The 17,517-nt window shown below is 50.0% G+C and overlaps 2 annotated features.

The window, feature by feature from the left end:
- Window positions 12,748–12,867: an enhancer, noted in NCBI's record as "active region_11306". NCBI's record gives its function as "activates an Ori minimal core promoter by ATAC-STARR-seq in GM12878 lymphoblastoid cells {active_cell/tissue: GM12878}" and the evidence as "EXISTENCE:reporter gene assay evidence [ECO:0000049][PMID:35858748]".
- Window positions 13,818–13,927: an enhancer, noted in NCBI's record as "active region_11305". NCBI's record gives its function as "activates an Ori minimal core promoter by ATAC-STARR-seq in GM12878 lymphoblastoid cells {active_cell/tissue: GM12878}" and the evidence as "EXISTENCE:reporter gene assay evidence [ECO:0000049][PMID:35858748]".

Raw genomic sequence — 17,517 nt, 5'->3', positions numbered from 1 at the left:
TCAGTCACGGCTCACTGCAACCTCTGCCTCCCAGCTTAAGCAATCCTCCCGCCTTAGCCTCCTGACTAGCTGGAACCACAGGCACACCACCGACATGCCCAGCTAATTTTTAAAATTTTTTGTAGAGACAAGGTCTCACTATATTGCCCAGGCTGGTCTCGAACTCCTGGGCTCAAGCAGTCCTTCCACCTCAGTCCCTCAAAATGCTGAGATTACAGGTGTAAGCCACTGTGCCTTGCCTAATTATTACATCATTTTTGAAACATAAATCCCCCAGTAGAATACTGTTGCATATGTAAGAGGAACCCAGACATCATTTTAAAGTGGCATCATAGCAACCCGTGCTGCACGGTCAGGAGCATGGCAGGCACAAGAGCATGCATGGTCAATCCTGTATCCAAATCAGGACCCCTGGGGGCCACCTCCCCATCATCTCAGGTTTGCTTTTCATCTTTCCTGCATCATGGGACCAGCCGACCTCAGGAACCACTTTATTCTTTGTCTGTTTTTAAAGCCCATGGAAAACTTCCAATGTCATTCCATATCAAGTTGTAATAAGACTATTTCACACTCTTGGTACTGAAAGTGTGGTCTGCAACCAGCACCATCGGGTCTCCCCGAGAGCTGGCTGGAAATGCAGAATCCCGGGCTCCACCCTAGTTCTGCTGAAACAGAACCTGCACTTTCCAAAAACCCCCAGGGTACCCAAGTGCAAGTAGCAGCACGAGAGAGGCTCTGCTTTACACCGAAGTTTACTTACACATTTGCACGAGAGTTTTTTCAATCTCCAGTTTGCACCTGCTTTGTCCTCTGTAGACAAGTCTCCTCCGTAGATAAGTCTCCTCCTACCCACCCCCATGCCCCGTTCCCAGGTTGCCTCCACCAGAGCCCTTCCAGACCCTCCTGCTGGTCAGATGCCCCCACTGATGTCCCACAGTGCCCAACTCTTAGCCACCTAAGCGTAATTTTCTATTAATCTGCCTCACCACTGGACTGTAAGCTCCCAGAAGTCAGGGACTGTGTTCTATTTGCAGTTGTGTCTCAAGTGCCCAGCACATAACAAGGACCCGTCAAATATGTGTGTGATTGAATTAAAATGGCCAAGTGGAATTATAAGCACCTGGTACCCATTCCTGCTCCTTCACAATCTTGCCCAGCCCTGTTATGCCCAGCCGGGTCCTCAACCTCTTTGCTCTTGTCTGCTCACAGCTGGGGTGCCACTTGACCCCCTTGGCAGAGCCATCCTGGCTGCTTCTCCCAGGACATGGACTCCATCCAGCCCAGGCCCTTGGACTCTCAGCATTGGTGTCTGGGCTACTCATCAGATTGACCTTGGGTACTAGCTGTGACCTTGATTTCCTGGGCTTCCTTCTACCTTGCTCCTGAGCCTTTTTCCCCACCTCATGCTCCAATTAATGGTGACTTTAGTTTCTTTATTACTCATTATAGCTAGTCCCCTTGTCTGGGGCTCTGCTTTCTGCTTCTTACCTAGTTCATGGGCTCCCAACTCACATGGAAGTGTAGCTGTTCCCTGATGTACTAAAGCCTACCTCTGCTATCAGAGCTTCTGCACTGAGCAGCTGCCGGCACAGACAGTCAACCTTCCCCTGTTCCTAAATTCCTCTTAGCTTTGCTCAGTCTTGACTTCCCCTTGCCTGACTGGGCTTTGACCTGTAGTGACCTTCCATGCAGAGACTCTGGCCCCCTAACCTGGATTTCCCCTGCTCCCTGCCATTGCAGCTGTGTCTAACCCCAAACTATATCCCAGACTTATGCTCAACAAATGTTTTTTGATGGATATGAAGATGGACGGATGAATGGATGGATGGATGGATGGATGGATGGATGGATGGATGGACGGACGGACGGATGGATGGGTAGGTTGGTAACTGGATAAGTGGACAGATGAATGGGTAGATGGATGGATAGATAACAGATGGATACTTAAAGAAGTAAAGGAGGAGTAAGGAATGGATAGACAAGTGAATCAATATGTGAATAAATGAATGAACAGATGAAGTGATAGATAAATAGACAGATGCTTGATTGACTGAGTCAATCAGTTGAACCATTCCAATCCTAAAAGCCCAACACACTGTAGCAGGGATTAGCGGATCAACATCGGAACCCACAGTGACATCTGGAAAGCTGGCCATGCCAAGAACCACGGTCTACAGAGAAGTATGAGAGCAAAGCCCCTGCCCACATGGCACTTACAGTCTAGAGTACTTGGCCCCAGTCTGCTTGGGAACTTGATGGACAGGCAAGAGCCAAACTGAGCCAACCCTTGGTCATATCCTTTTTTTCCCTCACAGGTCAAGTTTACTGCTAGGATGCCTCACTGTTTAATCTGGGAACTGCTGGGTCTACCTGTAGTGATGAACTCTGCTCAAGAAGCATAACTGAGATTCATTGACTGATAGAAAAGGCGTCTATACCTGGAAATTCGCAACACCTTTGCACAGTGTTCTAATGTTGAAGTGCTGTCTCCCGACTGCACCAACAGCTCCTTGGAGCAGAAATGGCTTTCTTCTCTATTTGCTATTGATAAAAGCAATGTAACTGAAATTACTCTGTACCTCAATAGATTCAACAAATATTTACTAATCACAAAGTGGAAGACACAGAAACGCTCACCACATATTCCCTTCGCCCCTTTAGGCTTCCCAGGCCCCATGCTGCTAGACAGGGAGCGTGTGGCTAGATCTGGTTGATAAAATGGGATAGGAAGTGACAGGGGTCTCTTTCAGAAGGAGGCAATAAAAAGGCCACGTGTGATTCTCCAGGCTCTGTCCTCTCGGCTGTATCAGCTGAGGGGGCTGTGAGTTCCTGATGGTGAAGGAGAGTCCCCCTCCATTGCCTCCCACCCTCTCCAGCCCACTATTATCACATGTAGCTTACGTAGTCCATGAACTCCTGTTGTGTTAACCTTTGAGATTCTCTCCTGCAGCATCCCTCAGCTTAACCTAAGTCATACAAATAAGAATAGCAGCAATGATCACATTTCCTAACTCCTTGCTTTATCCTGATTCCTTTTTTTTTTCTTTGAGATGGAGTCTCGCTCTGTTGCCCAGGCTGGAGAGCAGTGGCATGATCTTGGCCCACTGCAACCTCCACCTCTTGGGTTCAAGTGACTCTCCCGCCTCAGCCTCCCGAGTAGCTGAGATTACCAGCGTGTGCCACCACGCCTGGCTACTTTTTGTATTTTTAGTAGAGACTGGGTTTACCCATGTTGGCCAGGCTGATGTCGAACTCCTAACCTCAAGTGATCTACCTGCCTAGGGCTCCCAAAGTGCTGGGATTACAGGCGTAAGCCATCTCACCGGCCTATTCTGAATCCTAATCATGGATTGTCCTACTTTGTTGAGTAAATGGACCTGTTCACCAATCAGCTTTTATTTATTTGGAATGGCTCAACTCTGTCTCTGTGTAATGAAAAAATTGTACAGTACTTAAAATCTGTCTTTGATGGTCTTCCTCCTGTCCCCCTCTCAGGGGCCCCCTTCTTTCTACCTCAAACCCCCTGACGGGTACCTAACCGACTTTCTTGTTCTCAAGTAATCTGCTCTACAGTGTGAAGGAACTGACTTCGGTAAGCAAACTCCCTCAGGGATATTTGCATAAGGGAATTTACATAAAGATCAGCTCTTCTGCATTCTCTACTAGGAGACAATCAAGCACCTCATCCCTGCCCCACTAAATGAGAAGACAGATCATCGTACAGCTTCCCGCAGCCCCTCACGGCTGGCGATGCAGGGTCTTGTTTTCCATTAAGGCTGAGATAGAAGATAGAAGACAAAAGGGCTAAAGCCTGGGCTCCAACATCAGCCCACCCTACCACTCACTGGAAGGGCCTCAGTTTCTTTTTCTGTAAAATGGGGAGGTGCTCATTGGGCCTACCTGTCTTCGTTTCCTGAGGCTGTTGTTACAAATTACAAAATTAATGGCTTATGACAGAAATGTATTCTCTCATAGTTCTAGAAGCCAGAAGGCTGAAAGCAATTCTGCTGGGCCAAAATGAAGGCATCGGTGAGGCCACGCTTCCTGCGGCGGCTCCAGGAGGGAATCCACTTTCTTGCCCCTCCAGTTTCTGCTGGCTGCCGGCCTCACTTGGCTCACAGCTTCGTCACTCCAATCTCCACCATTGTGGCCGCATCACCTTGACCTCTTCTCTGTGTAAAATCTCCGCCTCCCTCCCTTTTTTTTTTTTCTTTTTGATTTGAGACAGGGTCTTGCTCTGTTGCCCAGGCTGGAGTGCAGTGATATGATCACAGCTCACGGTAGCCTCAACCTCCTGGGCTCAGGTAATCCTCCCACCTCGGCCTCCCAGGTAGATGGGACTACAGGGGTGTGCCAGCACACCCAGGTAATTTTTTTGTAGAGACAGAGTCTCACTATGTTGCCCACTTGGGATTGCATTTAGGGCCTACCCAGATAATCCACGAGAATCTCCCCATGTCAAAATCCTAAATGTAACCACATCTGCAAAGATCTTTTTGTTTTTTTTCTACCACATAAGGTAGCATTCACAGGGTCCAAGGACGAGGACATGGGAATCTTAGAGGAGCCTTTTGGCCATGAGTCAGTCTACCACACTACCCCATCGGGGCAGATTAAGCCATGCCTGGTACATAGCTAGTGCCCGATAAATAGCTGTGTTAACAACTATTCAACATTGTACCACAGGACCTCGTGAACATAAGAAAAAAAAAATGTTGTTTCTGTCACTGTTGTTGCTTAGTTTATGAGCCTAGAAAGCAGAATGGTCACTCCCTCAAACATTTGCTTGGAAACAGATGTGTCTGCTATCTGACTGAGGCCTCCACTTTTTTGTAGCCACAGACCCAGCAACCACTTTCCTGAAAAGGGTCAGTCCACACGACGCACCAAGAAGCCTGGCTCAGAGGAACTGTGGCTCCAGCGTCGGTACACAGACAAAGCAGAAGGCAGCCAGTTGGCAGGGTATTATTAAAAGTCAAGAGAAGCTGAGCCAGTTAACGTGAAGGAGGAGCGGAGCCCACTCTCAAGCTGCTGCTGGGCGCCCAGAGACACAGAATCCCGTGCCAAGAACCGGGAGCCTTCCCAGGACAAGGCACTTGAGTTGCAGATTAAAATGTCATCTGGTTTCTGCCCTGTGTATGACCTAAGGGGGAAAAAAATCACTTTGAGAGATGTAAGTGGGGACAGAGAAGAGAATACGGAAGGCTTCTGGCTGGGACAACTGCGTGTGTTTGTCAGTGTATTTTTTGGTCATTTTAGAGCAACCTTATTAACCCCTCAGAGGCTGCAAGAAATTAACTTTCTTTTCAGATTCAAATGAATCCCAATGATGGGTGTATCACTGGGGGATTTTCACAGGGACTGGATATTAAAGATGATATTACATTTCTCTGGTGTGATAATACCATTGGGATTTTGGAGAAAGCTTTTATTCTTAGCAGACGCTGCTAAGGTCTGTAAGTGGTCTGTTGACATGCCTGCCATTTACCTTCAAATGAGACAGCAAATGTTTTTTATGTATGTATTTATTTATTTTTTCAGAGACGGGATTTCACTCTATCCCCCAGGTTGGAGTGCAGTGGCAGGATCATGGCTCACTACAGCCTTGACCCCTTGACCTCCTGGGCTCAAGTTATCATCCTGCCTTGGCCTCCGGAACAGCTGAAACCACAGGTGCGAGCCATCATGCCTGGCTATTAAAAAAAGAAAAAAATTATAAAGACAGAGTCTCATTATGTTGCCCAGGCTGGGCTTCAACTCCTTAGCTCAAGCAATCCGCCAGCCTCAGCCTCCCAAAGTACTGGGATTACAGGCAGGCGTGAACCACCATGCCTGGGCAACAAATATTTCAGCACAGGTATTAAAAGCAAATATGGTGAAATGGTAACAGCTGTCAAACGTGGGTAGTGAGTAAATCCTTCATCATCATTCTTCTCTCCAATTTGGAAAAGTTTTCATAATAAAAAGTGGTGAGGTCGGGAGAAAGGACAGATGGTTAGAGGAAGCACAGTTCTACTCACCATTTTCCCAAGACTGAACTTGACGGAGAGGTGGGGACCCGCTGAGGTTGAGAGGAAAGCTTCAGGGACCAGAGGTTTATGGGAGCAAAGATATAAAATCTGGGCCTCGAGGCAGGGGGCCCAAGAGAGAGAACGGGACAGGGAGAGAAAGCCAGGGCTGAGGTGCCTTCTCAGCACTGAGGTGTTAACAGAACCAAAGCCAGGACGCCCCCGGGGCAATGACAAGCTGGGTGTCCGAGGTCAGTCCCTGCAGAGGAAGCACCGCAAAGCCAGCGCCCGCCAAGGCACAGGTTAAAGACTGACCAGTCACAGGGCAGGAAGCAGGGGTGTGCTCCCGAGACTTGGGGTCTCCAATGCAGCTGTTTCTGGGGAGAATTAGGAGGCCTGGGTTTTTGAAGGCAAGAGCCCAGCAAGGCCCATAGAATCCTGGTCTTTTAGGGCAGAGGACAAGGAGCTTGACGCTCAGTTTCCAGTCCACGCCCAACCATTAATCTGAACCAATCATGTGATCCCATTCTTTGCATGTGATTGGTTCAGGAATGGACATGTGACCCAGTTCTGACCAATGAAATGTGAGACGAGGTCGCTGGGTTCGGGTCTGCATGGGGGTGCTTCTGGGATGTCTCTTCCCTCCAGAAGGATGCCCGGGAGAGGTGGTCTCTCTTCTTCCTCCAGGTTCTGTTGCCCAAATGTGACCCCTGGAGCTGCTGCCACCACCTTGTGGCCAGACTGAAAACAAGGCTAACGTCAAGGATGGCAGAGCAGAGAGACGGCAAGAACCTGGTCCTGGAGGACATCTCTGAGCCGTGGAGCCGGCAGCCATGAAGCCTGCCCAAACTTCCTGTTGTGTGAAATAATAAACGGCATGATTCTGGAAGTCTGTTTGGTCCTATTTCTGTCTCTGGTACAAGAGACAGAAGCTGAACCCCATGCATTGCCTATGCCCGACTTAGAAAAGGTGGCCCTTCCTCCAGGACAACACCCATGTCTGGAAGAGCAACACAGCTGGCTTCCAACTCAACTTGATCCCCACACCAGGAACCCCTTCTGGTGAATATCCCACACGGCCACATCACACAGGGCATCTGGTGAAACCCCCAGGTCACACCTGCCAGGCTGGTGCATCTACAGAGAGAAAGAGAGCTCACTCCCTCCGTTTCTGGATGACTCTGGCCTTTGAGAAGCTCGGGGGGCGGGGGGCGGTGCCAAGCAGTGGGTGTAGCCCCCACCTTCCACCTAATCAGCCCCCTCCGTGTACTTCACAAAAGACAATTCACGTTTCCTTGATTTTTACTCAAAGTGTAATTTATATGCAACTTCAAACCACACCCTCTTTTTTTCCCACCAGAATGATCCCTGAGCACCCCTTGATGGAAATCCTGAAGATGGGGCTGCAGCGTGAGCCCCTCTGACCTGTTCCTCTGCCCATCGGCCCCCAACCCAAGGGTGCTGGGAGGAAAATTAAGGCTCTGAGAGACCCTGCCTGCTCTTGGCTCTGCTGAAGACCGGGAGGTGGGTGGATATGAGTTTTCCACAAAATGCCCTCAGGACCCAGATGTTTCCAAAGTGGATCCAAAATTCTGCCCTATTGTCCTCCCACAGGACCGCTTGAGCTCAGTGACTTGAGAAGTGAGGGGGCATTGGTGTGGCACAGGAGATGTGGGACAGGATGGAATTCAAGAGCCAAGAGAGTATTTTGCCCTTCACCCCTGGGGCTCCTTGCAAGAAGTGACCGGCACTCAACTTCTGTCTCACATTTGAAAGAGAGGCTGGCCAGTTCCATTTTCTGACCTGGGCTGACTTGTATGGCCAGAGCGCACTGGGTTATGGAGATCCCTGCTGAAACTTACAGAAGACCCAGATGGTTGGACCACTCAGCATGGCAACCAGGAACATCAGGCGGCCTTGGTGAACACACCCACCAGCCACCTTATCCAGCCACAAACATTTGCTGACCTCCCAGCTCACGGAGCCAGGACACTCCAAAGAGGCCGCTCAGTGTGGTAAACGAAGATCGGAACTTGGGGTTGGCTGGATCCAGGTTCGGGTATCAGCTCTCACCATTTCCAGCTGTGTGTCCTTTGGCAAATGACTTCACCTCTCTGGTCCTGTCTACAAAATGGGGATGATAACAATAGGTCCCTCTCAGGACTTTTGGCAGGACCAAATGAGACAAATGTACCCAAAGCACTGAGCTGGCTCCCTGGCATGGAAACGTGACTAGTGATTGGTAGGAATGCACAGTACTTGACATTTTGCAAAGCACTTTCTTGGCTGTCATCTCAACACCCCACAGAGCCGTTGCTCTGGTTGTGAAGGTGGAGTAAACCATCCTGAAGCAGAAGTTCAGGTAATGCCCTCAACGCCTCCCCAGCACAGCTCCTTGAAAAGGACGGTCATCCACCCCAGGCTAGGTTTCAGTGTTGATGCTCCCATGCTGGGTGACTCTGGCAAGTTACTTCCATTTCCATTCCCAGTTTCCTCATCTCCAGGGTCCCTTTTCCTGCAGCATGCTGAGATTTCCTGCTAGACTTGATGTCTACAGCCTTAATTACCTGTTTAATATTTACTGTGTGCCCCTCAGTGCCAGACAGAGGCTAGGTACTTAAATACCTCATTTCCAATCCTCACAGCAACCTTGGGAGGTAAACCATTTTATCCCCATTACACAGATGGGGAAACTGAGGCTCAGAAAGGGGATTGCCACAGTCCACACAGTGAGTGAGTGGTAGCGATGGGATTCGAACCCACGTTGGTCAGATTCCAAACTCCATGTTTTACCCTGACGTTGCCTTTGGTTCAAACCCTCCAGTGGCCACCTTAGCTTCTTTGCAAGTAACCAGACTTTACCATTTGGACTTTGCTGTTGGCCATTCAACATGGAATTGTGTGATGTTGTTGACAGAAAGAAAACCAGAGCCGAGGGTAGATGTGTTCGTGGAAATTATCATCACTGCAGAGTAAGCAAATCACAGTCCCCACTGGCGAGGGGGCCAGCCCCACCCTCTTTGACTCCAGCGTCGACTGTGCACTGTTCTGTGCAGATTCCTGCCCTGGGTGTGCAGTCAGGAACAAGGCCCAGCCCCGCCCTGAGACACTCGCTGCCTGGGCAGAGTCACCAGACAACTGATACAGCACAAGAAGAGCCTGAGAGAGGCCTGCAGAAACGTCCAGAAAGCTGCATTCAGCTCTTGCTTTGCATTGCAGCTTCCTTTAATGTCGTCTTGAAGCCACAAGCACGTGGGACCCCCGCTCAGGGAACCGTCTCGCTCACTTCTGCATCCCCAGTGCCTAAAGGAACGCCTGACCTAAAGTTGGTGCTCAGTAAACATTTTCTTATTTAGCTCACAAATAACTGAGTGAGTGAATGAATGAGGGAATTAATTACCAGGTCAGATCACTTGGAGAGAGAGATTGGTTACTGTTATGGTCTGTGCGGCCATGGAGCCCATGGTGTCATTTTACTTAAAACAATTTTTATTTATTGTTATATGGACAGGTGAGTTTTTCAGTCACTACTTACAATTTAGGACTCAGCATGTGGACAAAGAACTCACTTCCCTGCAGGTCACGAGCCAGATTCTAATACTGGCCTATTACCAGTTTCCTGAGAGACTTATAACTGATTTTCCCACCTCTCCAGAACTCTCCAGAACCACGCTTTTTATTTTCTACAGAGAAATCTAAAGTCGCTGCCCCCAGAAGTCAACAAGGCCAGTGATGTGCTAGAGGCAGCTTCACCAGCCGTGAGAGCTGATTGTGCCCAGACCTTCCCAGGGCACCTTCCACATTCAGGGACATCACGATAGTGGCTTGAAATCAGCCGCTGTGGGAATATTTACGAGATGGAAATTGGAAAGTGCTTTTTTTTTTCAGGAGAGCCAGTTGTTAAATTTCTACCAGCGTACCCCTCTAAAAGGCCCAAACTTCTTTGAAGTATCTGGTCTTATGTTTAAAATCTCGGCATATACCATGGAATACTATGCAGCCATAAACAGAACAAGATCATTTCTTTGCAGGAACATGGATGGAGCTGGAGGCCATCATCCTTAGCAAATTAATGCAGGAACAGAAAACCAAATACCGCATGCTCTCACTTATAAGTGGAAGCTAAATGATGAGAACACATGGACACGTAGAGGGAAACAACACACGCTGGGGCCTGAGGGTGGGGTATCAGGAAAAGGAACTAGTAGGTACTAGGCTGAGTACCTGGGTGACAATTTAATCTGTACAACAAACCCTCATGACACAAGTTTGCCTGTGTAACAAACCTGCACATGTATACCTGAACTTAAGAGATTTAAAAATGACAATAATCCCTAAGATCCTCTAATAATTAATGTTAAAAATTTTTCCAACTATTCATCCAAGAATTCTTAAAGACAATGTATTTTGCCATGGTTATACCTCTATATTTCAAATAAAATCACATTTTTGGGGCAAAGTTTAAAAAAATAAAATTCCCATATATTCTGCACTTTGGAAAACTTGACTTTTGATTTTAGTAAAAAAACATTTTAATGACCAATTATATGACTGCAATCTTTTATTAAAATGGATGCTCTGAGAGGCTGCCATGTTTATCCTGCGCTTTGTTACATCTCACTATAACTGGGTTTTCTAGTTTAAAAAACAGAGCCCTGGGGAGGGAGGGATGAACAGGTGGGCAAAGCATGTAGAGGAGTGGAATGATTCTTTCTGCCTGAGCCTGTGATGGTGGATGAGTGCCATCACACATTCATCCAAACGTACAGAGTGTCCAACACCAAGAGTGAACCCGAATGTCCACGGTGGACCCTGGGTGATAATGAAGTGTCTGTGTAAGTTCATACATTGTAATCAATGTCCCACTCTGGTGTGGGACATGGATGGTGGGGGAGGCTGTGTAGCAGGGGTGGGAAGGCTGCATGTGTGGGTGGGTGGGAACCCTCTGTGCTTTCTGTTCAATCTTGCTGTGAACCTGAAACGGATCTGAAAAAATAACATCTATTTTAAAAATTATTTTTAAAAAAAGAGCACGGCATGATTTCCAGGTGTCCTTCCAGATCTGAGATTCCACAGGGCTTTTGTCTCCTTTCTTTAATTAGCACCAGCGAAAGTAGGATTTCCTGGTACCGGTTCCTGCTCGTGTGGGGAAGGAACTGCAGCTTACACAGGTGCCGGTACATCCACCATCAGATGTCTTCACCGTGTGGTTAGAATTTAGGGAAGATGAGGCCAAGGGGAGGTTTGATTCTTCTAGCAAGGTGGTTTCTCCAAGGCTTTTCTGGCCACGTGCGTCGGGATCACCTGCTGAGTTTATGAAGATACAGACTCCAGGCCCTGGCTGAGACCTACAGAGTTGGAAGCCCTGGGGACAAGGCTTAGGTATTATTTTAAGTTCAGGGATATAATCTCTGCTTGGGTGACCATCCCGCAGCCCCAGCCAAGCAGCGGTGGGTGGGCTGTTCCAGGGGCATCAGGAGAATGCAGGGGTGTTCCCTGCCATCCACTCCACCACTCACCGTGGCCTGACTGTGCAAGGCCCTCCACCCCTCTGAGCCTCAGTTTCCCCAGCTATAAAATGGGGATGATGACGTTCACCAACTCCATGGGAATGGCGCATGAATGAAATCAGACAGCCCTGGTTAGAAAGCGTTGGGCCCACCATGAGCCCCGCGAATGGAAGTAGCCCCCGACCCTCCTTGCACTTGTGCTGCCCTCGTGCCCTTCACACACGAGTCTTCATCGGAGCTCCACGCCCAGCTGAGACACCAGTCAGGACGGGCACTTGTATCCCTGGTCAGCAGAGGTGGAAACAGACCCACAGTCTCTAACAGACTGCACCAATTGCCGGCAGGAATAAAGTCAAATTCCCTTCACCTGGTCACCCACATCACCCTGGACAGGCAGAGGTGCTCACGGGGGTGGTTTGGGAGGCATGAATGCATCAAAACCACTCTCCAGAGAAAATTCCCAACTGAAATCACCCCTGGATCCCTGGCACCCAGGGGCTGGGCATTGACGAGCGTTGGGCCATGGCCACAGCTCCCGTCAGCAAGTTAGTGACCCATATGCAGAGACCTGAAATGGCCATAACACCCCATGCATTTAAATAGTCACTCAGCTAGTGCCTACTGAGCACGTTCTGTGTGATGGGCACATGCAGGTACTTACTGAGCACGTTCTGTGTGCCAGGCACATGCAGGTACTTACTGAGCATGCCGTCTGTGCCGGGCACATGCAAGTACTTACTGAGCATGCCCTCTGTGCCGAGCACATGTGGGAGCTGGAGACGCACCAGTGTGCAAGGCGTAGACCCTGCCCGCATGGTGCTCACCACCTGCGAGGGGCCGCGAGCTATATCAGTGTCAGGCGATGACAAGTACTCCCAAGAAAAATAAAGTCAGACACGCCAGAGAAAGAGAGGGGAGCCCTCTCTGAGGAGGTGATGTTTGAGCAGATCCCTGGACAAAGCGAAGGGAAAGCGTATGAATAAACAGAAGTATTCTGGGAGGAAGGGGGCGCGGTACAAAGGCCTGAGGTAGGACCACACTTAACATGTTTGTGGACAACAAGCAGCCCTGTGGTTGTAGTGGAGTGGGGGATGCAAGGGATGGGGGAGGCACTGGAGAGGTGACCAGGGGCCGGATGGTATTGACCACTCCATAACGCCACTCCTGGGCATTATCCTAACAGAGGAATTAAACAGAAGCAGAAATCCACACGCAGGCACTGGCAGGATTGGTCCCGAAAAGCAGACATTTACAAATGGCCTGAATGGCCATCCACACGGGGCTGTTTCATAGGCGATAGCGCTCCGCTCCCCAAGCACTCTGAATGACAGTTACAAGATTTTGTAGCAATGAGGAAAACAGGCATGATATAATAAGTTCAAAATACGTTCTGGCACCTGAATGAAGACCGAGAGCTGTTGGGTTAGTGTGGGAGGAATGTGGGGAGCAGTTCTTTTTTCCCTTTTTCAAATTTTATATAATGCGGTTGCTGTATTATTTTTATGATTTAAAAAAATTAAGGGAGAAAATGTGTTCAAACCAAACCAATGGCTGAGTGAGGGGAGGCAACGAAAAAGATCAGTTTCCCTTCCTCATGATACAACTCCCACCAGGGTTTCGGGTTTTCTCACCACTGTTTGCTGGAACCCAGCCAGCCCACGGAGTGCTACGCCCGGGCGAGGAGGGTCCCGCTTCTCCTATCCAGCCCCAGAGGGGCCACATGGCTTCTCGGGAACAGGAGACTGTGTTCCCTAAACAGCCTTCTCGCCCAAAGCCTAGCTGGACATCTAGAGTAGGCAGTGGAGGTGGGGATGGCGGGGGGAAGACATTCTTGCAGGACACCTGAACAATGCTTCACCCCAAAATCCATCCCTGGCCTCTGCTTGAAATTCCACCATCGGAGACCCATTTGGGTCACCAGGGGCTCCCTCCTAACCCCTAACAGAGACCACCCACCTCCCCATCATGCCCCGCGTTCGCTCTGTGCAAGGTTCCAGCTCCAGTTGAGGCGGGTCCCCACTGCCTCTGCCTCAGGTGAGTGAACAGGCTCGGCTGCTCTGCCAACAGCCCTCAAGCTTGATGTCACAGCTAGTGGGCAAAGCAGAGGCTGCCACGGCTGTGACACCTTCTGTGGTCACCCACCTCCCCTCAGCGTGAAGCACAAAAGCACTCACGGGGCACTGCCTGTGGCCTTGCCCCGCTCTCGGCCTACCTGCCCTCTCTCCCCAACCCACCCTCCTTCCCCAGGTGCCACTAGAGCAAGCGGGTTGCTGCCTTTTCAACAAGGCTGGGCTCCCTCTGGCCTATATGCCTTCACCCACACTGCTCCCTGGGCTCAAAGTCTCCTGCCTGCTCTACCAGGCTCTGCTTGGCTGAGCTCTTGATGCTCAATGCAGAAGTCACCTCCTCCAAGCAGCCTTCCTTGGCCTCACTGCATCCCACCCACCACGGCATTTAAGCTATCCCCACCTTAGAAGGGTCTGGAAATTTTACAACAACCTTAAGGAGATCCCCAGACATGCCTGCACATTTGAATTGCCTGGGGGGCTATTTATGGCACCCCGGTGTCCAGCAGACAATAGAATTCAGGGGCAGCCCAGGCAGGGGACTTTAAAGGAACTGATTCCGATGCTCTGGGAGGAAAAGGTTGGGCATTTCCAATGGGCTCTGCAGCGATTCAGGCACAGGGGAGCTCTGCCTTCCCAGTGAGGCCTCAAAGGCTCTTGAAAAGAGAGAGAAGGGGACAGGCACCCCGCATTCCCAACAAGTCAGTTGTCCCCACCTCCATGTGTTTGCTGGAATCTTCGGGGGAGGGGGGAAGCATGGCTTCAGAAGAATGCCTGAGAGAGGAGAACGGGGAGCCAGGAGGTAGTTTTCTGAGATGGGCCACAACTCATCTGCAGCCCTGGACAAGCCTCGGAGGCCTGGGTCCAAGTCCCTCTCTGTGGCCTGGGCCAGGTAGGGCCCTTCGGCCCTCTGTGTCCTTACTACAGAGGCGGGCAGACACTGTAGATTCTATTCTAGTTATTATTTTCCTGATTCTAAGTCAGGCTCATACAAAGACATGTCACCTTCAATGAAAACAACATCTCATTAAAGATTTTACTATTTCTTTTTTTTAGATAAGGTCTTACTCTGTCACCCAGGCTATAGTGCAGTGAGGCAATCATAGCTCCCTGGGCTCAAACTCCTGGGCTCAAGCGATCCTCCTGCCTCAGCCTCCTGAGTGGCTAGGACTACAGGCTTGCATCACCTCACCCAGCTAATTTTTAAACTTTTTGTAGGGATAGGGTCTCACTATGTTGCCCAGGCTGGTCTCAAATTCCTGGCCTCAAGTGATCCTCCTGCCTTGGCCTTCCAAAGTGCTGGGATTACTGGCATGAGCCACCATGCCTGGCCTAAAGATTTTATACTATAATAAAATAGCTTGCTCCTTCCATATCTTACAACTCACCCGAAACAAGCCCACCCTACATGGACCTACAGGCAGACAACCAGCCCATCAAGAAGGTGAGGGCATCTCATTAGGTAATCTCTTTTATTAAAAATGAAAGACATCAAGAACCATTCCAGTTGGGTTCCGGAGTCTTACAGTTACTGATATTTATCTCCCACTGTGTTCCCAGCTGGGCTCAGCTCAACACACAACAGGTCCCATTAAATGAACAGAAACTGGCTGGCAAACGGTGTGGTGAGGGGTGGGGCCGAAGCCCATCTGCCAGGAGAGGGTCTGGGGACCCAGTGAGGAGCGGGCAGGCCCCCACCTCGGCTTCGGGTGTGGTTTCTGCATCTGCTCAGGCTACAGGAATAGGATGAGCTCTGGTGTCGTGGAGAATGAGAATCTGGAAGTGGAGAGCCCGAAGAAGGGCTGCAGAGAATGAGCAGAGGAAGGGGAGGGTGGTCCTCAGACCTGCACTCGAGGGGACCCTGGATCTCACTGGAGCCCTCGCTCACCGTGGGGCCTTAGTCAAGCCACCATTTAATCACTCTGAGCCTCGGTGTCTTCCTCTGTGAAATGGAAACAATAAGAACAGATGTGGAGGCATTAGTCCCCCAGATGTCCACAGCCCAGTCCCCAGAGCCTGTGACTATGTCCGGTGACCTGGCAGCGGGGAACGACAGTGAGGGTGGGATGAAGGCTGCTAATCAGCTGATTTTAAAATAAATTATCCTGGACTTTTCAAGTGGACCCAATGAAATCACAAAGTCCCTTTAAAGTAAGAGAGGAGAGGGCTGGAGGGGGGCCATGTCAAGACTCAACCGGCTAACAGATGGAAGAAGAGGCCAGGAGCCAAGGAGTGCAGGTTGCCTCTGGAAGGTGGAAAAGGCAAGAAAGTGGATTCTTCCCTGGAGCCTCCAGAAGGAACCAGCTCTGCCCACGCTTTGATTTTAGCCCAGTAACACCCACGTCAGACATGACCTCCAGCACTCTAAGAGGCCTCTGTGTCATTCTAAGACACCAAGTTTGGGCCAAGCACAGTGGTTCTCACTTGCTGTGGCCTGTAATCCCAGCACTTTGAGAGGCCAAGGTGGGTGGATCACTTGAGGTCAGGATTCGAGACCAGCCTGGGCAACATCGTGAAACCCTGTCTTTACTAAAAAATACAAAATTTAGCTGGACGTGGTGGCACACACCTGTAATCCCAGCTGCTCAGATGGCTGACGCAGGAGAATCACTTGAACCCAGGAGGTGGAGGTTGCAGTGAGCCGAGATTGTGCCACTGCCCTCCAGCCTGAGCAACAGAGTGAGACTCTGCCTCTAAACAAATAAATATCACGAAGACACCGAGTTTCAGCAGTTTGTTGCTGCAGCAGTTGGAAGCTGGCTCGTACGCCTGCTAGGGTTGTGGGTATGAAATGAACGCATGCATACGCAGTGCTCAGCAGCATTTGGCACGTCAGAAGCACCCTGCAGATGGCAGCTACTTTTATCTCCGAGAGAGTGATGTGGGGGTTGGTGCCAACCCATTGCCACCCTGATGTCCAGTCCCCAGGCTTCGAGCAGCTGTGGGAGCAGCCGGCCTGGCGCACCTCTCACAATGGCCCTGGTCAGTAAGACTGGGCCTGGGCCAGCGGGCAGTCATCAGAACCATTTCTCCCTCGCTCACTGGGCAGACGGGAAGCCGCATCCCTTTCCCCAGCACCAGGTCTGGAGCAGCAGCTCTCAGCCCAGCCAGCCAGGACCAGTTCCTCCCTAAACTTGGGGCCAGCCCAGGAGTCCATTGTTTTTAGGTTCCCCAGGTGACCCTCATGGACACCCGGGGTCAAAAAGTCCTCTAACCGAGAAAGAACACTGACCAAAGGCTGATGCGCTGACCTTGACCACTAGATAATACCAGTGACAACAGTGACAGTGGTGGTCACCATTTGCTGGCAGGGTACTGGCTAAACACTTTACATATGTTATCTACTCAAATCCTTAAACCTGATTTGTAGGTGCTACCTGATTTGTAGTGGCATCCCCACTTCATAGATGAGAAAATTGAGGTTCAGGAACGTGGAGAAACTCACCCACAGTCACTCAGTTATAGAGAGTTGGGGCCTGGATTGGAAATTACAACTATCCAACGTGAACGTCTTCCCCTCAGCCACAAACGTGCAAATCCTCACCCAGTAACACACGGTGTGCAGGGTGGCCACCCTCCCAGGCCCCCTAGCTCCCTGACAGCATATATGGGGCTGCAATGGAAGGAAGCTCCACTCTGGTTCAGAGAGACATGAGTTCAAGTTTGGACTTGAGGGGCAACGTGTAAAATACATCTTTCCATCACTCATTCCATACGACTTCCTGGTCTGTGACTCACTTTGAAAAGAGTTACCTGGAATCAAGCCTTATCACAAGGAATATCTTTGCAAAATAAGTTCCACACACTTTCAACAGATGCTTCATTTGTAAAGGAACAGAGGTATATTTTGTTCAGAGAATTATATATTTTTGAGAGTGTCGTGCCCTCCAGCCACGCTCCCCTGGGGGCCTTTGGTTGAAGAGCCAGGTTTCT

Source organism: Homo sapiens, chromosome 16 (genome assembly GCF_000001405.40).
Source record: "Homo sapiens chromosome 16, GRCh38.p14 Primary Assembly".
Lineage (NCBI taxonomy): Eukaryota > Metazoa > Chordata > Mammalia > Primates > Hominidae > Homo > Homo sapiens.
This window is presented reverse-complemented; position numbering and strand designations above follow the sequence as displayed.